The 21,971-nt window shown below is 44.1% G+C and overlaps 1 long non-coding RNA gene across 2 annotated transcripts; it reads left to right on the forward strand.

Annotated features, from left to right (window-relative positions):
- The first annotated feature begins 234 nt into the window (after positions 1 to 234).
- Positions 235 to 3,576, forward strand: LINC02152 (long intergenic non-protein coding RNA 2152). 2 transcript variants are annotated; one of them, NR_184339.1, is made up of 4 exons: positions 235 to 564; positions 932 to 1,357; positions 1,544 to 2,227; positions 3,108 to 3,576. It is a non-coding gene; the product is annotated as a long intergenic non-protein coding RNA 2152 (long non-coding RNA). The 2 variants fall into 2 exon arrangements; NR_184340.1 differs by having other exon boundaries at positions 932 to 3,576.
- The last annotated feature ends 18,395 nt before the right edge of the window (positions 3,577 to 21,971 follow it).

Consider the following 21,971-nt stretch of genomic DNA (forward strand, 5'->3'; position numbering starts at 1 on the left):
GCCCTTCCTCCTCCGCAGCAAGGGGACTGGAGCCTGGCTCTAGACGATCTCTGTTTTGTTTTGTTTTGTTTTGTTTTGTTTTGTTTTGTTTTGTTTTTACATGGAGTTTCGCTCTTGTTGCCCAGGCTGGAGCATAGTGGTGCGATCTTGGCTCACGGCAACCTCTGCCTCACGGGTTCAAGTGATTTTCCTGCCTCAGCCTCCCAAGTAGCTGGGATTACAAGAGTGTGCCACCACGCCTAGCTAATCTTGCATTTTCAGTGGAGACAGGGTTTCAACATGTTGGTCAGGCTGGTCTCAAACTCCTGACCTCAAGTGATTCAGCCGCCTCGCCTCCCAAAGTGCTGGGATTACAGGTGTGAGGCACCACATCCGACCTCTGCTCTTCCTCAAAGGCCACCAAATCATGCCAGCTAACTGTGCAAAGATGTTAGCCTGATAGTCAAAGCTCTTCCCAGACTCTTATAAACATAGAAGAACATAGCGGTTAAGAACATGAGCTCTGCAGCAGGATTACACGGATTCCAATCTCAGCTCAGCCACATACTAGCTGTGTGATGTTGGGTAAGTTACTTAACTTCTTTGAACCATGTTGTCTCACGTTTAAAAAGGGACAAATCATAGCACTGGCTTCATACAGTTGATTTGAGAATCAAATGATGCATGATACACATTTAAACCACCACTACCCTCACATCATCGTCATTTACTAGGCTTGGATACATCTCGTTCCTCACCTCTCTGTGTCCAGTTGATTAGTATTCATCTTTCAAGCTCCATCTCAAATTCCACCCCCTGATGACTGTAATCAACAGGGACTCTTCTCTCCATTAATAGCCATAGTGGAGGAGTGGGGACTTACCATGTACCACGTCCATACCTGACTCTTATAACTACCCTATAAAGTAGGTTCTATCTCCTTATTTTACAGATGAGAACATTGAGGCCTAGGGCATTTCAATAGCTTGCCAAAGGGCTCATCATTCTCGGGTAACAGGATGAGGCCAGACACCAAGGATCCCTGGATCCATGCCCTACTCTCCACACTTGTCTTGGGTCTATGAAGCCCCCAGTCCCAAGGTAAGTCATGTCATTGTGGAAATTAATTGCAACCTTTCATGATTGTCCGATCCCATCTATGGGTTTCAAGGAAGATTATGAAGTCCTTAGAACCACAATGTGTCTAATTTTTATTCTGTATTTTATTTATTTTTAAATGTCTGAGATGCTGAGAACCTGAGATATCACTCATCTCATCTTCCTGAATTTTATGAACTAAGAAGCGAAAGCTCACCCAAAGCCATTTATAGAGTCTATGGAAAAAGAAGGACTAGACCCTGGATTCCGTGATTTACAGGTTTTTCTTCTCCTAATTTTCAATCCACTCCAAAACATGCAGAGAGATGACCTTAGCAAAGATGTTTATTAGTGTACGTTGGTGCTGTTGTTTCGGGGAGGGGGTCGGAAGGTCTTGGAATCACTTCCTACTGTGTAATCTGCAAGCTTCCCACTGCGTCTTCCTCTTCCTCTTTGCTTTTTCCAGAGATATAAAGGGTGGCTGGTGCCATTCTTCCAAAAGGAAAGCTGTCATCTTTACTCACTCAGTCCTCAGCAAACTATCTGAGCACTATTTTTGTGCCTCATCTGGGAGCTGGGGAGTCAGTGATGGGCAAGATATGGTCTTTACTTGCAAAATTCCCATAGCACATTGGAGAAGAAAAAACAGCAATCAGGTATGTGCGCTACAGGGGGGTGCATGCTGCAACCACCAGCATCAACAACAACATGCATTGAATGCTTCATGTATATCAAGTGCTCTCTCTCCTAAGAGATATGAATGCATTAACCCCATTTACTCCTCAAGACTAGAAACAAACACTTTATAATTTGCTACGGACTGAAAATTTGTGTCCCCCTAAAATGTATATGTGGAAGTCTTAATCCCCAATGTGATGATATTTGGAGGCGGGGCCTTGGGACATAATTGGGGTAGGGTGAGGTCATGAGGGTGAAAACCCCATACTGGGATTGGTGCCCTTAGAAAGGTATAAAGGGACTGGAGCATGCAGTTTCTCTCTCTCTCTCTCTCTGTTTCTCTCTCTCTCTCTCTCCCTCCGCCGTATGAGCACGCAGCAAGAAAGCGGCTGTGTGGCAACCAGGAAGACAGCCTTTATCAGAATCCAGCCATATTGGTGCCCTGATCTCAGACTTTCCAGCCTCCAGAACTGTAAGAAATAGATGTTCACTGTTTAAGTGCCCCAGTCTATGGTATTCTATGATAGCAGCCCAAACTGACTAAGACATCATTTCTTTTATCAGATGAGGAAACCAATACATAGAAAGACTTTTAAATTTTCCCTAAACAATGGAAGTACATGCTAAGTGCAATAGGGGTATGTAGAAAAGAGTGTTCAGATTTTAGGGAGATTTCCAGAAAAGGCCTCTTCATGCTGGAGATGGCTTTTTTTAAATAATGGAAGGGAGTTCCCAAGGCAATGGTTGAGCAGTGGAGTGGGAGCCCAGGTAAGAGTATGCAGGTGGTAGAAACAAAATATTCTAAGACAGACGGGCACAAAACAGCATGGCTTATTTGGGGAACTACAAGTACCTCTATGTTGCTGATGCCTGATGTTCTAGAGGACACATTTCAAGGCAGGAACAAGCTGAGGGCATATCTCAACCTCCCCTTCCTCAGGGGCACTCATCCTTCATCCCTTTAGCAGTTTTACTCAGCATTTGTTCTAGGATGCCAGGCTGTGAGGTAAGACAGGTAAGTGAGACTCAGCCTCTACCCTCAGAGTTCACAATCTAATGGGAAAACTAAATTATCATAAAGATAGCATTACAAATGCAGTGCTTGACATATGCCTGGAGCACTATGAGACTGTAGGTGAGAAGCAACGAAAAGAGGACAATCCGGAGAAGGTAGCAGCTGTGCTGTCTCTTAAAGTCTGACCAGGTAGTCCAGGTGTTCCCTGTGTTTGAGGTCAAGGGGCAGCAGGAGAAGATGCAACAGAAAAGCACACAGCACGAGCAAAGCCACATAGCTGAAAAACAGCTATCACCTGCAACAGCTTCTGCTGCTACAATACCTGTACTCCTCTTAGATTTTATTCCAGTATCAGCCAACAACGTGATCTGACAGGACAGTCCCAGCCCTAGGAAATGAACTATGATTCGTGCAGACCGATCGAAGTCATACCATACAGCGATGGATTTGGGCATGTGGGCCAGTTGGGATCAAGGGAAAGGAAGCATTTCCATTTTGATCAATGGGGGGATTCTGGGAAAGTCTTCTGCCCGTAAAAAGAAACAAGCCAGGAAAAACGTCCCCTTCCTCCCTGTAGACATGGCTATGAACGGCAGGATGCCTGAAACTGTCCAGGCTTGTTATGATGGAGAGACACACTGCACAGGGTGGGGGAAAGGGGAAATATACCCTAAGAATGGTAGACCAGAAAGATGTAAAGCATCTGTATCCTTGTTGAAATTATAGTGCCTCCCAATTAACATACCTAGAACTGTTTACCTCTGGACATTTCATTATGTGAGATATTAAAGACCTGTGTATTTGAAGCCTCTGTTGGTCTGAGTCATCGCTTCCTTGCAGCCCAAAGTGCCGTGTCAGTGAGAAACTACAACCAGCAGAGGGTGGCTAAAAACGAAGGTGGTTGTGGCTGGTGGGGTTAGGCTGGGTATAAGGAAAGTTCATACTTTAAAAAAAGTTTTCTTACAAGGTCAGCAGAGAGAATTTTGCAGGGGAGTGCGGGGCTGCAGGAAATGGAGGTTTAATGTTTGCGTAAATTGAAAGAAGGAATCTACTTGGAAATGAGAAAAAGCAAGATTAAAATGGAAAACACAGCCCCAAAGCTATTAATACCCAACAGATCTAAATTGAAAAATAAAAGCGATGGGTGAAGCATATAGTTCTCAAAATGAATTCGTGTCATAAACCATTAACATCAGCCCTACCTTATTACCTGTAATTCCTGAGAGACGGGTTGCAAGCAGTGCCCAGCGGACATCTAGCTGGAGATCGGCAAGAGCTCTGCTCCCAGGCCAGCCCAGGTCTCTCTTCTCATGACACCTGCTCTGAGCATCATTCCCTCACCCCATTCTGGGGCCCAGTGGAACCCCAATGCTGCCGTTGGCCCAGAGAAGACCTCAAACGTCAGCAAGTGCTATCGCTAAGAAATTCTGAAATCAAGATCAAGAGAACTCTTTTTTTTTTTTTTTAAGAAGGAGTCTTGCTCTGTTGCCCAGGCTGGAGTGCAGCGGCATGACCTCGGCTCACTGCAACCTCTGCCTCCTGGGTTCTAGCAATTTTCCTGCCTCAGCCTCCTTAGTAGCTGGGATTACAGGCGTCCACCACCACACCTGCCTAATTTTTGTATTTTTAGTAGAGATGAGGTTTCACCATGTTGGCCAGGCTGGGCTCGAACTCCTGAGCTCATGATCCACCTACCTCGGCTTCCCAAAGTGCTGGGATTACAGGCGTGAGCCACCGCTCCTGGCCTTTTTTTTTTTTTAATATACCCCCCAGCAGCACTTCAAAGGTGTTCTGTCCGTATTAATGCACATTAGTGTTGATGCTCCGGCCTACCACTGGGTCTTAGTAAATGTCACCTAAACCTGGGCCACTTGAAGTGGAGATGTGGGCTGGCGTGCTTCCTAATGATCCCCAAGGCCTCGCTCCACCAGCACCCACACACATCAGCATGTTAGAGCCCTTAGCCTCGGGTATATCACTATATGCTGTGATAATAACGATCTGCACTTTGGACACAGATGCAGATTTAAATCTCAGCTCTGCCACTTACCTGCTGTATGACTATGGCAGTGTCTCAGAATCCCTGAGCCTCACCTTCATGGTCCACACAATCCCAGAGTGTGGAGAATTAAATGAGAAGCTCTACGAACATGTCCAGCTCAGTATGTAGCATGCAGTAGGAGCCCAGTCAATGTTGATTTTCCACCACTAGTCTCCCAAACCCTCCTGACCCCTTCTCAGCTTACTCCTCCTGCTCTAGAAAGCGTTTGGGGTCAGTAGAGTGCTCAAGAAGAGATCTGACATTCAAATGTGACGAATTACCAACCTTGAAGGTTTATGCTCTTTGTAAGTTGGGAGGATTCCTTGTAGAGGGGCATCTCCAGCAGGTTTGGAAGACCGTGTGTCATCTGCACAGGAGACTCAGGGTGTGTCCACAGTATAGTCATGACTTTCGCTCATCAGTTGAAGGCTGGCCCTTCTTATGTGCTCAACTTTATTTGCCCAGTGAACAATTCCGGAGTATTCTTCAACTGGGAGGAACTTCCATTAGCAATCTACCTCCACAATACATCCCAAACTCCTTCACCACCGCTGTGCTAATCCTAGGCACTCTCTTGCCTCATGTGCAGTACTAAATAGCTCTTTAACTGGTCTCTGCTTCTACTATTTCCCCTACTACGATTCACTACTACGCAGCAGCCAAAGCCACACTTTGTCAACCCACTGCTCATAACTCTGCAACAGTGTCCCCTTGCATTTAACAGGAAATCCGAAATCTTCAATTGGCCCAAACATTCTTGAATGGTCTCAGCCAATCTTGTCTCTTGCTATTCTTCTAGACGGCACTTCTTGGTCTCTTTAAGTTGCAATTTCCTCGTCTGTAAAATAAAAAATGATGCTGGCTAATGCTGATAGCAGATTAAACAGGATAAAACACAAAGCATATTGCATGGAGCTAAACTTCCCCCCTTAGGCTGGGGGTTTTCAAAAAGCAGCTCTTTAGCCAGCAAATGGGCTTTGTTTTCCATAGATGGGCACCCTCTCCTCCACTCAAATGGGGCTCTTGGCCAACTTGTTTCTCCCTGTCTCTGCCATTCATGCTTCTACACACACACACACACACACACACACACACACACACTAATAGCCAGGCATGCTAGATTAGCTCCAGGAGACTTAAGTGTACCCTAAGCACCAAGCCATCAGCAGCAAATGGATGTCCCTTGCACAGATCTGCAGTGCATATTAACAGGCCACCACCTCCCTCAATGTTCCAGGATGTGTCTCCTTACAAGACTTCTACTTGGAGTACCAGCGCCTTCTCCCACAAGGTACCCCTAGCAGCCAGCACAAGACCACACACTGCTCACCTGCTGGCCCCACCGTATCCTCCAGGATACTAAACCAGGTCTGTCTGTGTTGCCCAGAGTGACCACAAAAAAAGGTTCATGCACCTCTTTGCCTACATCTGGAACCTGAATCCCCGATTTTTTGGCTCAGGGCCCAGGAAGTGCCTCAAACAAGCACAGTTAATCTATCACCGATCTTGGGGTTGGGAGAGCTCTTAAATTCTTTCTTCAACCTCTCTACCAAATGTGAAGTTCAGTGAATTCTTGAAGACGAAAGCCCCATGTTCAGAGTACTCAGTCCAGCTTTAGGCATTTCTATCCATTAGGTAATGGGTTTTGGGGGTTTGGGTTTTTGGGGTTTGTTTGTTTGTTTGAGACAGGGTCTTGCTCTCCTGCCCAGGTTAGAGTGCAGTGGTATGGTCCCGGCTCACTGCAACCTCGACTTCTTGAGCTCAAGAGATCCTACCTCCTCAGCCTCCTAAGTAGCTGGGACCATAGGTGCATGCCACCACACCCTGCTAATTTTTAAAATTTCTGTAGAGACAGAGTCTTCATGTGTTGCCTGTAGGCCATTCTTGACAATACCTAAAATTTGCTTCTTGTCCGGGAACGGTGGCTTATGCCTGTAATCCCAGCACTTTGGTAGGCCAAGGTGGGTGAAACACCTGAGGTCAGAAGTTTAAGACCAGCATGGCCAACATAGTGAAACCCCGTCTCTACTAAAAATACAAAATTAGCCAGGCATGGTGGTGGGCACCTATAATCCCAGGCAGAGGCTGCAGTGAGCCGAGATCGTGCCACCACAATCCAGCCTGGGTGACAGAGCAAGACTCTGTCTCAAAAGAAAAAAAAAAATTGCTTCTCACTGGGGCAACAGAAGCGATCTTAGAGTGAGATCAAATGCCTCTCGACTTCGTGTCTCTCTCTCACTGGGTTTAAGCCTCGTTGATTTAGATCCCTTGTATCATCTCATATTATGCTACCTTGTTTATGTTGTCATGCATGCTGATTCTAGCAAACTTTGAGCTCTGTGTCTTAATCTGTTGTCCTATAAGTGGTTTAAAAACAGAAACAAAACAAAAAAAAAAACCTGAGCTATGGAACCTCACACAAATGAATTCACAGGTATGAGCTCAAACATGGTAGCTGTACCTCTCAGAAAAAAAGGACTTTATTTCTTTGGGCCGCCTTTTGTGTGTATAAAATGGAGGCATTGGGCGGGGTGCAGTGGCTCACACCTGTAGTCCCAGCACTTTGTGAGGCCAAGGCGGGTGGATCGCCTGAGGACAGGAGTTTGAGACCAGTCTGGCCAACGTGGTGAAACCCCGCCTCTACTAAAAATACAAAAATTAGCCAGGCATGATGGCAGGCACCTATAATCCCAGCTACTCAGGAAGCTGAAGCATGAGAATCACTTGAACCTTGGAGGCAGAGGTTGCAGTGAGCTGAGGCTACACCACTGCATTCCAGCCTGGGCGAGAGAGCACGACTCTGTTAAAAAAAAAAAAAAAAAAAAAAAGGAGGCATTAATCCCATGTTGTTTTGTTTAATAAAGTGGCACACATAATAAGAGAAAAAAAAGAAATGAGCCATTGCTGAGTATCTACTGTTACTGCAGACACACCGCAGATGTTCTGTCAATGTTCATTCCTTCCTATCTTTGCCCAGTGCTCACTCACTCCCTCCTGTACTTCAGAAATACTCCATCCTCCATTCATTCCACTCCATTCATTGACCTTCCTTCTATGCCATGAGTCACACCGAGTACTAGGGATGCAATGGTGAAGCCGGTACACTTCCTGTCTTCAAGATCCTTGCAGTTTAGTGCAGGACAGAGCAAAGAACACAGATAGGTCATTGTTAGCATTAGAGACAGGATACCATGCTGTGGACGGACAGAGATAGGACCTCTTCCACACTGGAAGTTCAGAGAAAGCACCTCAGAAAAGGTAAGAGCAAAGTGACAATTGAAGGTTGAGCTGGACTTTGTCACATCAAGGGAAGAGCCGAGGCATGTTTAGGGAGCTTTAAAAAAGTGGAGGATATGAGAATGCAAAGATTAGCAGAAGCCTAATTATGGTAGGCCTTATAAACCACGTTTATTGGCCAGGAGCATTTTGGTTCCTATGACAAAAACTAAACTCTGACTAAGGCAAACCAGGAAAGTCATGTGTTTACCTAGCTTGCAACAATAGTAAGGTAGCTACCAAACTCGAAGAAATAGCTTCAGAACCATGGCCCCAAACACCTAAATGATGACTCAAAGTTACCAAGGCACTTTCTCCCCATCCATCTTTGCTTACTTCATTCTTCAAAAGACCTGTGTCCACGTGGGAGGGGAGGGTCCTCCAGGCTCTCCAAATCCTTATTCTCCCAGTTTATCAATCCCAGCAGAAAAATATATATGTTTTCAGTGTCTATATATCTTATCCAGGGCAGGACTCTCTTTGGCTCCACTTGGGTGACAAGCCTTGTCATTGCAGCACTTTTTTTTGTGGCTTGGAGTCCACAAGATATCTGAGTGGCCAAGTCCAGGTCATGCACTCACCGCTGTGCAGGTAAGACTGGAGTAGCACACAGAGCCACCAAACCACGTTAAGGAGTATAGTAAGTATTTGGTGGCAGAATAAAACTTTTAAAGTCTGTGACAGCTCAAGATACCATGGTTGAATCAGGCAAGAAACAAAATACGGGAAAAACAATACACAGCTCAGGGCCTATCTGGAATCTAAAACGAAAACATGCCTGAACTCTGATTTTTCATTTACTCTTTTGAAGGCCTTTTCCATGGGGGATTCAAGGCTGGCTCTCTGACCTTAGAAAATCCAGCTTCTAAGAGATTTTCTGTTTCTATGACTTAGGAAACGGGGAGAGGGGGTACACTCTTCTCTAGACCCCAGATATTAGGAGACTGTGTTTTGATTCAAATCACTCTCAAGGTTGGGAAAGGACAGGTAGGTCACCTTTACCTGCGTCGTATCCTGAGTAAATCACAAGCTTTCCTTCTTCCCTTTGCCAAGAGAAGAAAAGATATTTATGCTCTACCCTGCCACGTGGCCAAATTCCAAGGGCTGCTTGTCACTTTTATAAATTTTCTTTTTTTTTTTTTCTTCAAGCCATCTGGGGCACAAAAAAGGAGACTTACTCAGTTTCAAGTGTTTTTGCTTAAGGCAAAGGATGAGTGCCCTGGGTAAGAACCTTGCCTGGCTTCTTGAGGTCACAGGAGGTTGAGATTCTAGGTTCCTGTGGCTTCAATAGTAAAAATTCAGTGGATGATCCTGGTGTACACTATAATGTGCATGTGGAGATGGGCAGAGAGAGGACTGCATGCACCCCAGTATCCCACCCGAACCCCTCAACAACAACCCCAATATCTTCCCTTTACTCTCTTCTAGCCCAGATCATTTTGGACAAAAATCCAGACATGTAGATTCTAACTGTGGGGTCGAACAGGATTCATTTATTCTGTGATCTCAGATGAGCCTCTTAACCTCTTTGAGTCTATTTCCATAACTGTAAAATGCAGAAGAAGAATAACTCCATGTCATTTAGGGGCTTCTCTATGATCAAACACTGCATGCAGCCTTCCATCATTAAACATTTACTGAACACCTACTTTCTGCCAGAAATGGTGGATACCAATGATGGCCAGCAAGTATTGTGCTATTACATTTCAGGCACATGATTCTAATTGATTTACATGGTTGAATGCGTCGAATTCCCATCAACAACCCAGTCATGAGCATGTCACCCTAGTACTCATTTTACAGGAAAGAAAATGGAAGCAGTGGTTAAGCAAGGTGCCCACAAGAACACAACTATGAAGCAGCAGACTGGGGATTACATAGATTTCCTGGTTCCAGAGCCCGTAATTATAAATACCAAAATGTCTCTTGACTAGGGTTATAGAAAAATAAAACACAGCTACATAGCTTCTGCCTTTGAGCTTCTGTCATCTAAGAAGCAGAAAGGCTTGCGAACCATCCTCATTGTGTGAAGGAAACTTATCAGAGCATCTGTTTGGAGTGGAGATACCATGGAAACAGGTGAAAGCTGCATGGTCTGTCCTGTTTTGACTCTATTTTAATTTGGATGACTGGATATAAAGAAGAGTTTCCCAGTTGACAGCCCACAACTATTAGGACAAACAACAGAGATTCCGAGAGGTTAAAAGTCTTGCTCAGGGTCACCAACCAGGGCAGAGGTTAACCAAGGAATTGAACTCAGGTATTCCTGGCTGCAAAATTTGTGTGATTTATGCATTGGATATAATGTGCTGTAACCAGCAAAGCACTTTCACATATATCAGGAGGTCTCGAATTTGCAGTTCACAAACTAGCTGCATCAGAGTCTCATGGGAAGCTTTTAAAAGCTCGGATTCCTTTGACTCATCTCTGAGATTTTGATTCTCTTTGTCTGGATCAATTCCTGTAAATAGAAAGTTTTTGTTGTTATTGTTGGTGTTGAGCTCCTCAGGTATTTGGGAAGCACAAACATAGGGGGAGATTTCAGGTTATGTATAAATTCCTTAATACACAGATACCTGTGACCCAGCAAATTTGCTTCTAGATTTTACCTAGAAAGAAACTCAAGTAAGTGCAAAAAAGGAGCGCTTTTAAGAATAATCAATTGCCCCACCCCTCCCCGCTGGCAAAAAAAAGGAAACAACCTAAAACCTAAATGTTGGCTAGTTAAATAAACACCAATATTTTCAATATTTCAATTTTCATGAACTGACATGAAAACATGCCTCAGATATATTGTTGAGGGGAAAAGCAAGTTATAAACTAGCATATGCTTTTGATTTTATATATGTATAAAAACATGTGTATACACATATATCCTATATTTAAATGAAAAGACAAATTCCGCAATGGTAATTCATGAAACTGATAACAGTCTTTCCCTCTGGGAAACAGCCTAGGCCTAGGGACATTGATGATCAATGAGAATATTTCTCTATAGGAGATGAATCCTCTTACTGCAATAATATATTCATGTTCACAGTTGCAAATTGTGGTCTCCTTATCATTAAAGTCTTTCATTCCCTGGAAGAATCAGAAAGCTTGAGTTTATCTTTCAGTAGTTACAGTCTGTGCTAATGGGGGAATATTTTTTATTCACTCAAGTATACCAAGATTGACAAAGCGCATCTAAGGTATCAGGTACGCTAGTAGGTACCAAGAGAAGTAAATGAAAAGCTCTCTTTATTTGGAAGAGCTCACCATCTTGGGTGGTGGGAGGTAAGACATTTACACAATTAAATAGTTCAATCTATGCAACAAATGCTATTATTTCTAGTTTTTCATCCAACAAATATTTCCTGAGCACCTGCAGGGCCCAGGCTTTGAGTCATGCACTAAGGATGTGCATGGTTAAATACTTTTCTGCCCTTGAGAAACTCACCTATGTTGCTTGTCTGGTGCATGGCCCAGGGCAAAAACCATATCTTACTTACCTCTTTACCCACTGGAGCATCCAGTACCATGCTTTGTGCATATCAATGGCAGAAGGTGCACTGCCAGGGTGGGGGTGAATGGAGGAGGTGAATGAGAGGGAAGAGACACGAAGGCGTATAGAATTTCTAACTCGAGTGGCTACAGGAAAGTTCAACTTTGTTCATTTTTAATGTGACGCATGTGCCTGGTAAACAAGTAGTTAGAAAAATAAGTTTGGGTGTCATCTTAGGGCAAGAATTTAGAAATAAAGACTGGGGAGTCCTAAGCATGGTGTTGCAGCCATGGAAGTGAATGTGAATCCTAAGGAGTGAGGGAGAGAAGGGCTATTGATGAAGCCTTGTAGAAAACGGGATGACATTAAGTGGGAAAGTGGGACAAGATAAGGCTCAGAAGAACAACCAAAGAAGGAGGAGAAGAAATATGAAAGATAGCTTTATAAAGCCAATGAAAAAAGCTTCAAATAGAATAAAATACTGAATAGAGGTCAAACATATAGAAAGGTAAATTAGAACTGGAGACAGCCTAGAATACTTGTTAAAAGTACACACTCTGAAGTCGGACTGCCTGGGTTTGACAACCATCTCTTGAAGTTTCAGATGCCCCATCTGTTACATAGGGAGGAGGGGAACAATACCCATATCTTAGGAGTTTCCATAGATTCCATAGCCTACAGTGTACACAGTGCTTGGAACTTAGTTGGCCCTCAATAAATGATAGAAAAATGATTATCATCACTATCAATTAGAAAATCCTGGGTGACTTAGGCAAGACCAGGTTTAATGAAGCAAAGAGGTGTAGCAGACATACCTATAACCCCTACTGATCCATGCCCTTGTATAATCCCCCCACCTTGAGTGAAGATAGACCTGTTGCTTGCTTCTAGCCAATAGAACATGACTTGATGAGGTTACCTTCCAAGGCAAAGGAGATGGGATGTCATATTGTGATTATATTTTATCACATAAGACTCTAACTTCAGAGACAACAGAAAGATACTCTCCTGGTAGCACTGAAGAAACAGACCCATTATGAACTGCCTAGGGAGAATGACATATGGCAAGGCCCTGCAGTCAGCCTCTAAGACTTGAGGGTGACCTTCAGTCAACAGCCAGAAAGAAGCCTCAGTCATACAGCTGCAAAGGAAATAATTCTGTCGGCAACATGAAAAAGCACGCAAGCAGATTCTTCCCCATTTGAGCCTCCAGATGAGAATACAGCCCCATAGACACCTTGACTGCAAGCTGCAGAAAACCTAAGCAAGAGATCTGTCTAAATTCTTCCAAGACTCCTGAACCACAAAAACTGAAAGAATACATAGGTGTGCTGTTTTACATCACTAACACTAACTCACTGAGGCAAAAAGCCACAATACAGAAGGAAGATGCCTTCTCTAGTGAAAAGAAGATGAGATAATCAAGTTAGAGAACAAAAAATGCTGTTTCAATAGAAAGAGTCAAGGGTGGTAGTCTGAGAAAAGGGAGAATAGAGAAAATCCAGAGCAAACACGATATTTCAAATATGTCTGAAAATTGGTTTCTATTAGACCACAGAGCACTCTGGCTGATTGGCTGAGAGCCTATGAGTGAAGCATCTTCACTTCGAAGCTACTTGTGACCTCCTGGTAGTGGGATGTCAAGAGAGAAGGTGGTGAGCAACCAGTGCTAGGGAGCTGTCCACTATCTTGGTTCTAACAGCCCTTGAATGCCAGAGATTGACTTCATGAGACACATGGGGATCCCCAGTGGAACAGAGAGAACAAAGATTTGCAACGTATTAGGTTGGTGCAAAAGTAATTGCAGTTTTAGCCATTAAAAGTACAAAAGCCATTTGCCATTAAAACTCATGGCAAAAACTGCAATTACTTTTCCACCAACCTAATAGCATCCCCAGTTTTCTCTTGCAGCAGGTTGCTGGATATTGGGCAGCTTCATTACTTAACAGCATTGCGATCTTACTTGAGTTTCAAGAGCTCTCTACACTTCAGACCCCTCATCTTCAAAAATGAGAATCACTGCCCATGACAACCCGTGGAATTCTTATGTAACCTAGGGAAATGATGAATGTGGAGTAGGTTACTAGGGTTGGAATTGTAATTTCGTTATTGTCTCTGTCCTAAGAGGACTGTGTGGGCGTTGCTTTGCCCAGAGGAGAGGGTCACAGATTTTGCTGGCATCACATTCTCTGTGTCTAACCTGAGAACCTATTACCACCACCCAGTGTCCTCAGAAGTCATGATAGTCACCATGATGCAGCTAGAGTTATAAGGACCAGAGTTTGACTCCCAGGTGAGACACACGCTACATGGTCTTGTTCACATTGTTCTCTCTGGGCTTCCTTTATCCTCAACGTTAAAAATAAATATGAAATAATTTATTTATTGTCATCACTTTAGTAATTCAATGAAATATTGTCTGTGGAAGTCATGTCTTTCATCTTCTTTTAAATCTCAGACTTTAATCACCTGTGCTATTATTGTTGCAATAATTCAAATATTTCAGGAGCTTAAAAATGAAACCCCCCAACCATCATCTGACTCCTGGAGCACAGCCCCAGCCCAGAGACTTCCCCAGCTCAGAGCACTTTTCCTACATTCCCATTTTCATTCCAAAAAGTCAAACTTGTTGCATTGTGGAATCAGGCATCCCCGAGTCAGCCGCACACAGACCAGCTATTTCTGTGGGCTGTGAGCCAGCCTGGCTCCCAGCAAACTCCCTCAGCTGTCGGAACAACTCTCACTGTCAAAACTTGCCGAGAAGAGTCATTAGTTTCAGAGAGATGGGAGAGGAAGAATGTTTGCCTGGGGCATCTCTTTGAAAAGGTCTAACTTTCTAAAATGGTAAATAAGCCAGATTTCTTTTCTGGGGGTGCATGAAGGGCAGAAGGAGCTCAGTCAGGGTATGACCTCCGGGAGCCAGCTGGCGTCTGAGACATCATTACTTCCCAAAGTTTATCCCTTCCTTTTCTATGCTTCTGCACTGCAGCCTGGGAAACGAGCTCTGAGATCAGTCTGCACAGTTCTGATTACACAGGCAAGCACCGCACGGAGGGTTTTATTAGGAGAAAAAGAGAAAAAAAAAAAAAAGCAGAACACTAGCTGGGGGGAGAAAAGCCCTTCTGCCTTTAAATAAAGGGGAAAATTATTTTATAAGCGTCTGGAGCAGCAAAGCCTGTGAAAGGTGAATATACCATTCAGCGCTACTCCTAATCTTCAGCTTGCAGTACCCACATTTCTGAGTCAGCGTGTGTAGATAGCAATGTGATCAGCGAAAGTCAGATTAGGCCTAACAAGATATGACTGAAAGTCTTAGATTGGCTGTGACAGCCTCAAGTTCAGATTCCCTGCCTCTCTGCTCTGTTGTCTAAGTTTTAGGGTCTAGTTCATTCTTAGTGAAATCCCATGAACTCCTGTTCCCCGGCATTCATCTCTTCTCCTCCTGTTCTCTTGGAATAAAATGCTCTGGAGCCCAACATCTTCACCCTTAGTGGCTTAAGATGAACTACCAGCTGGTAATAGTCTATCCTTTTAAGAAAGAGAGGCTAGGAGAAGGGGAAGTGGGGGAATAGTTGAGCAGGAGAATCCTGCCTTGCTGGAATTGTAAAAGGTGAAAGCAGGGCACTGCTTGTGAATTCAGACCTAGTAGGCAGATCATGCATCTCAGCTTCTCCTTTCTATAGGTATGGGTGCAGCAAGCACTCACAGTTGATTACATACAGTGACAATTAAGCTGAATCGATTCTGAGTCTCCATTTCTCTCACCCTCAGCAATCGAATCTCCAAACTCAATTCACTCTGCCCCCATATTCTCTCTAAAACCCACATTTGTTTCATCCTCCCCACTGCCATTGCCTCAAGAAGTTCCATTGTCACCTCTCATCCCAAGAACTGGAATTCTTGCCCACTGTCTCCTTGCATCTGTCCTCCCCCACAACACAATTCAAGGCCATTTCTCCAGAGCTGCTGCAACAGAATCTTGTCTTCCTCAAATATTTATTGAGCATCTACTATATGTCAGGCCCTGTGCTTGGCATTGGAAGAAGAAATGGAAATAAAAGACAGACACTATCCATTGTGGCTGCATTATGCCCCTCCCAACACAACAAATTCGTATGTTGAGGGCCAAACCCCCAGTGCCTCAGAATATAATCATGTTTAGAGAAAGGGTCTTTAGGTAATTACAGAAAAATGAGGTCACAGGAATGAGCCCTATGGAAGGTGATGTGAAGATGCAGGAGGGGACGGTTATCAACAAATCAAGGAGAGAGGCCTCAGAAGAAACCAACCCTTGATCTCGGACCTCCAGCCTCTAGAACTGCTAGAAAACAGAATTCTGTTGTTTAAGCTGACAAGTCCATGGTACTTTGTTGTGGCAGCCATAGTAAACTAGTACACGGTCTCAGAGAGCTTAAGGTTTAGTGTGGGAGATAGGAATTAGTCAAATTTACTATAAACCTAAATTCAAGGCTGGGCACAGTGGCTCATGCTTGTAGTTCCAGCACTTTGAGAAGCCAACGCAGGTGCATCACTTGAACCTAGAGTTTGAGACCAATCTAGGCAACATGGTGAAACTCTATCTCTACAATAAAAATACAGAAATTAGCCAAGTGTGGTGGCATACACCCATAGCTCCAGCTACGTGGGAGGTTGAGGTAGGTGGATCGTTTGAGCCCAGGAGTTGGAGGTTGCAGTGAGCCGAGATAGCACCACTGCACTCCAGCCTGGGTGACAGAGAAAGACCTTGTCTCAAAAATAAATAAATAAATAAAATCTAAGTGTAAAAGTAAATACAACGGTGCTGAGTGCTATGGAAGACTGTAAATGGTGAGCTATAGACATAGATATGGATACAGATATAGTGACATTGATTAGAAATTTGCATACAGGTTGAGATATGCATATAGATATGGATACAGATATAGACAGTGATATCAATATAAAAATATGGATATAGGCCCGGCGCAGTGGCTCACACCTGCAATCCCAGCACTTTGGGAGGCCGCGGCAGGTGAATTGTGAGGTCAGGAAATCGAGACCATTCTGGCTAACATGGTGAAACCCCATCTGTAGTAAAAATACAAAAAATTAGCCAGACATGGTGGCACGCACCTGTAGTCCCAGCTACTTAGGAGGCTGAGGCAGGAAAATCGCTTGAACCCGGAAGGCAGAGGTTGCAGTGAGCTGAGATTGCGCCACTGCACTCCAGCCTGGGGGACAGAGTGAGACTGTCTCTCTCTCTCTCTCTCTCTCTCCATATATATATATATACACATATATACATACACATACATATATACATATATATATGATATGATATATATATGTGTATATATATACATATATACATATATGTATATATATATGATATAGATATGGACAAAAATTAAGATAGGGATATAGATAGGTATATGAGGAAGACCAGCTCTAGTCTAGAGATGAAGTCACAAATGGCTTCCCTGAAAAAACCACAATAGAGGCAAAATAAAGGAAAATGTAGGTCACCTAAAAATATATATGGGGCAGAGATTTCAAATAGAGAAAAGCACATGAAAAGTACCCAGGATTGGAAGGAGCAAGGTCTTTCGCAAAAGCCCACCTGAGAACTCTCGAGTGGAATGAGTAAGGAGACAGGATAGGGGGTGGCACAAGGGGTTGTGAAGGTGAATGCAGAGGCCAAATTCCCTGGTGGCCCCACACTTCCTCTAGAATTTTGTTATAAGTCTTTGACATAGCTTAGAAGGTCTTTTAGGACCTGGCTTCAGTCCATTACCCTTTCATCTCATCCTACTGGTATCCCATAGAGCCAAACCAAGTTATATAAAGGTCCTCAAATGTTTCATGTTCTCTTTTGTATTTCAGCCTTTGAAAACGATGTTCCTTGGGGGTAGGAGCATGCTCTCACCCTTGTCTTCTATCTCTCTCATCCTTTAAGACTCAGTTCAGAACTTGACTCTTCAGGCGGAGGCTTCTCTGAGTCCTGAAGGTAAAGTTCCTTCTTTGTTTATTCAACAAGTTTGTAGCACTCCTGTCATGGAGAGAAGCCTGTGCTGTCTTGGAGCAAGGGCTACAATGATGGTTTTTTAAAAAAGTGAGTGCAATCTCTTTCCTTGAAAACTCCCACTCTCAGGCTTCTCTTCTTTCTCCCCATCATGGTATTCTGCATCTGTGTTGATACTGCATTGCCACATTACGGTAGACTTGTTTACGTGATGGTCTCCCCTACTGGACCACCACGTTTGTTTTGCCGTCTCCTTCAAGAGTTCTTGAAATTTTAGTAGGCACCCAATAGATATTTGATGAATTGGTGAGTGAAAGTGCATTGAACTCCATTTTTTAAATGGGAGGTACAATTATCTCTCATTCTTTACAGCAGGGGTTGGCAAACTTTTTACAAAGGGTCAGATAGTAAACAATGTAAACTTTGTGGAGCAAAAAGCAAAATAAATACTATTAAATACAACCAATTAAAAATATAAAAACCATTCTTCGTCCATAGGCCACAGTTTTATAAAACCCCAGCTTTAGAGTCCTACATCCAGTAGTCAATCAATCAATCACGATGTATGCATGATATAATCAGATGCCAGAGAGGGTAAGGGACCTGGATAAAGTGTCACCTCATGTTTGCACCTTTAGTTTCCCTGCCTCCTAATAATCCTATTATCTCTGTGACTCAGCCTGCCTGGTTTCAATCACCAGTTTTACTGCTTTTCAGATGTGTGACTGTGAAAATTACATAACCTCTCTTTGCCTTAATCTGTCCACCAGTAAAATTGGGATGATGATAATTGTATTCATTTCCAAGGACTGCCCTAACAAATTATCACAAACTGGGTGGCTTAAAACAACAGAAACTAATTCTTTTACAGTTCTGGAGGCCAGAAATCTGAAACCATGATTTTGGCAGGGTGGTACTCCCTTCAAAAGCTCTTGGAGAGAATCCTTCCTTGCCTCTTCCAGCTTCTGGTGGCTCAAGGCATTCCTTGGCTCTAGGGGCTTCATGGTGGCACTCTCTGCCTCCATCTTCACTCCATCTGGCCTGTTCTGTGTGTCTTTTCCATCTATGTCCTCACCTCTTCTGTAAGGACACCTGTCATTGGATTTAGGGCCCAGCCAGAGAATCCAGGATGACCTCATTTTTTTTTTTTTTTTTTTGAGACAGAGTCTTGCTCTGTTGCCCAGCCTGGAGTACAATGGCACCATCTCAGCTCACTGCAACCTCCACCTCGTGGGTTCTAGTGACTCTCCTGCCTCAGCCTCCCTAGTAACTGGGATTACAGGTGCCTGCTCCATGCCTGGCTAATTTTTGTATTTTTATTAGAAGCAGGGGTTCACCATGTTGGCCAGGCTGGTCTCAAACTCCTGACCTCAAGGGATCCACCCACCTTGGCCTCCCAAAGTGCTGGGATTACAGGCATGAGACAACATGCCTGGCCTGCAGATCTTTAGCTTACTTACATCTGCAAAGACCCTTTTTTTCAAATAAAGTCACATTCCCCGGTACTGGGTGGTTTTATCTTCGGGGCCACCACTCAATGCACTGCAATAATTATATACACCTTAGAGGGCTGATGCAAGGATTCTATTAGTTCATTTGGATCAGCACAGTGTCTTGCATATTTGAAGCAATCAATAACACTAAGTATCATAAATAAAAGCATTTACTGAGCATTTACTATGTACCAGCCCAGCACTGGTCATTTTGCATGCCTTCTTTCATGAATGTTCACAATAACCTCATGGAATGGTGTGCCATAGCTCCATCTTATAGAAAGAGCACCTCTCGGCCGGGAGCGGTGGCTCACGCCTGTAATCCCAGCACTTTGGGAGGCTAAGATGGGCAGAACACGGGGTTAGGAGATCGAGACCATCCTGGCTAATACAGTGAAACCCCGTCTCTACTAAAAATACAAAAATTAGCTGGGCGTGGTAATGGGTGCCTGTAATCCCAGCTACTCGGGAGGCTGAGGCAGGAGAATCAGTTGAACGTGGGAGGCAGAGGTTGCAGTGAGCCGAGATCACGCCACTGCACTACAGCCTGGCAACAGAGTGAGACTCTGTCAAAAAAAAAAAAAAAAGAAAGAAAAAGAAAGAGCACCTCTCAGAGCAGTTCTGCTGCACCATGCTTTCTCCTGTTGTCTTTGATCATCTGTCTGTCACTCAGGCATTGCCCTTCCTTGAATACAGTCACCAGGCTTCTCAGGCACAGCTTTTGGGAGGGGTGCACTTAATGTCATCTCCAGGAGGCTTTGGCAGCCAGGTAGGGGTGAGTTAAAACTCTGCTTATCTCATTTTATTTATTTGTATTTTGGGGAGTCTTGCGCTGTCACCCAGACCAGAGTGCAGTGCCGTAATCTCAGCTAACTGCAACCTCTGCCTCCCAGGTTCAAGTGATTCTCCTGCCTTAGCCTCCCGAGTAGCTGGGATTACAGGTGCCCACCACCACACCCAGCTAATGCTTGTATTTTTTTTTTTTTTTATTTTGAGATGGAGTCTTGCTCTGTTCCCCAGGCTGGAGTGCAGTGGCGCAATCTCGGCTCATTGCAAGCTCCTCCTCTCAGGTTCACGCCATTCTCCTGCCTCTGCCTCCCAAGGAGCCGGGACTACAGGCACCCACCAGCACGCCTGGCTAATTTTTTTGTATTTTTAGTAGAGAGGGGGTTTCACTATGTTAGCCAGGATGGTCTCGATCTCCTGACCTCGTGATCCACCCACCTCTGCCTCCCAAAGTGCTGGGATTACAAGCGTGAGCCACCACGCCTGGCCCAATGCTTGTATTTTTAGTAGAGAGGGGATTTCACCAAGTTGGCCATGCTGGTCTCAAACTCCTGACCTTGGCCTCCCAAAGTGTTGGGATTACAGGCGTGAGCCACCGAGCCCGGCCTCCATCTCACTTTAAAACTCTCCTCATTTGCCATTGTTTTTTGTAAGAAGCTATGGAGGGAAAAGAAAAAAAAATAGACTTTTGAAAGTTTTAATTGCTCAAAGATGCCATTGCTGCAAGCACTCACATGTATTTTTCCACACAGGCTCAGGAAAGAAAGTGGTGAAAGTCCATGAACCTCACAAAGCCCTGCTCCCGGTAGCCCATCACACAAGAATATTAATTTAACTAAGCTCATAATGACAGATTTTGCCAGAGAGCTCTGAGAGAACTTGAGGTGCTTCCTCTGAATTTTAGCACCCATCCCGGAAAAACTAAAAAGATATTGCCTCCACCAACCGCCATATCTAGGTGGGTTATTAGAGATTCAGGCTTGAGAGATAGAGACCTCATTGATGAAAGTGGATCTTTATTCTAAAGCCCTAAATGTAGATAAAAAGGCATAGAAGACCAGGATCCAAGTCCTAGGGATGCTTCTTGCTAGCTACATGTTATTAGCCAGTTGCTCTGAGCCTCAGTTATTGCATCTGTGAAATGGGAATAACAACAACAGCCTCACTGACACGCACTTAGGATTAAATGGTACAATGTATAAGAAAATTACCTGTAACGTAAATATTTAATAATTTTAATATGTTTCTCAAATGTTTAATTTCCCTTGATCTTTCATGTTTTCTTTTTCTTTTTTTTTTTTTTTTTTTTTTTTTTTTTTTTTTTTTTTTTTTGAGACAGACGCTCACTCTGTCACCCTGTCTATTCTCCTGCCTCAGCCTCCTGAGTAGCTGGGACTACGGGCACCCGCCACCACGGCCGGCTAATTTTTTGTATTTTTAGTAGAGACGGGGTTTCACTGTGTTAGCCAGGATGGTCTCGATCTCCTGACCTCATGATCTGCCTGCCTCGACCTCCCAAAGTGCTGGGATTACAGGCGTGAGCCACCGCGCCTGGCCATGTTTTCTTTTTTTTTTTTGAGATGGAGTTTCACTCTTGTTGCCCAGGCTGGAGTGCAATGGCACAATCTCGGCTCACCGCAACCTCTGCCTCCCGGGTTCAAGCGATTCTCCTGCCTCAGCCTCCCAAGTAGCTGAGATTACAGGCGTGTGCCACCATGCCTGGCTAATTTTTTTGTATTTTTAGTAGAGACAGGGTTTCACCGTGTTAGCCAGGATGGTCTTGATCTCCTGACCTCGTGATCCACCCGCCTTGGCCTCCCAAAGTTCTGGGATTACAGGCGTGAGCCACTGTGCCCGGCCCATATTTTCTTATATAAAAATTGAAGGAGTTGGAGTTTGTGCTACCTCTGGGTAGCATTCCAGATTTTACCGGTCTGAAAGACAGAAGGACATCATTAGGTCTTAACTCATTCTTTGCCCAGAAATAAAAGCCCCAAAGCATGAATGTGGAAAACCCACCCTGGCCGTCGTCCCCTCCTTCTTTGTCTTCTAGAGTCTCTGTGGCCATTTGTTTCTTATTTGCCAGCCACATTGAACAAACAGATTTCTCTCAGTTAAGT

The sequence above is a fragment of the Homo sapiens genome, chromosome 16, assembly GCF_000001405.40.
Source record: "Homo sapiens chromosome 16, GRCh38.p14 Primary Assembly".
NCBI lineage: Eukaryota > Metazoa > Chordata > Mammalia > Primates > Hominidae > Homo > Homo sapiens.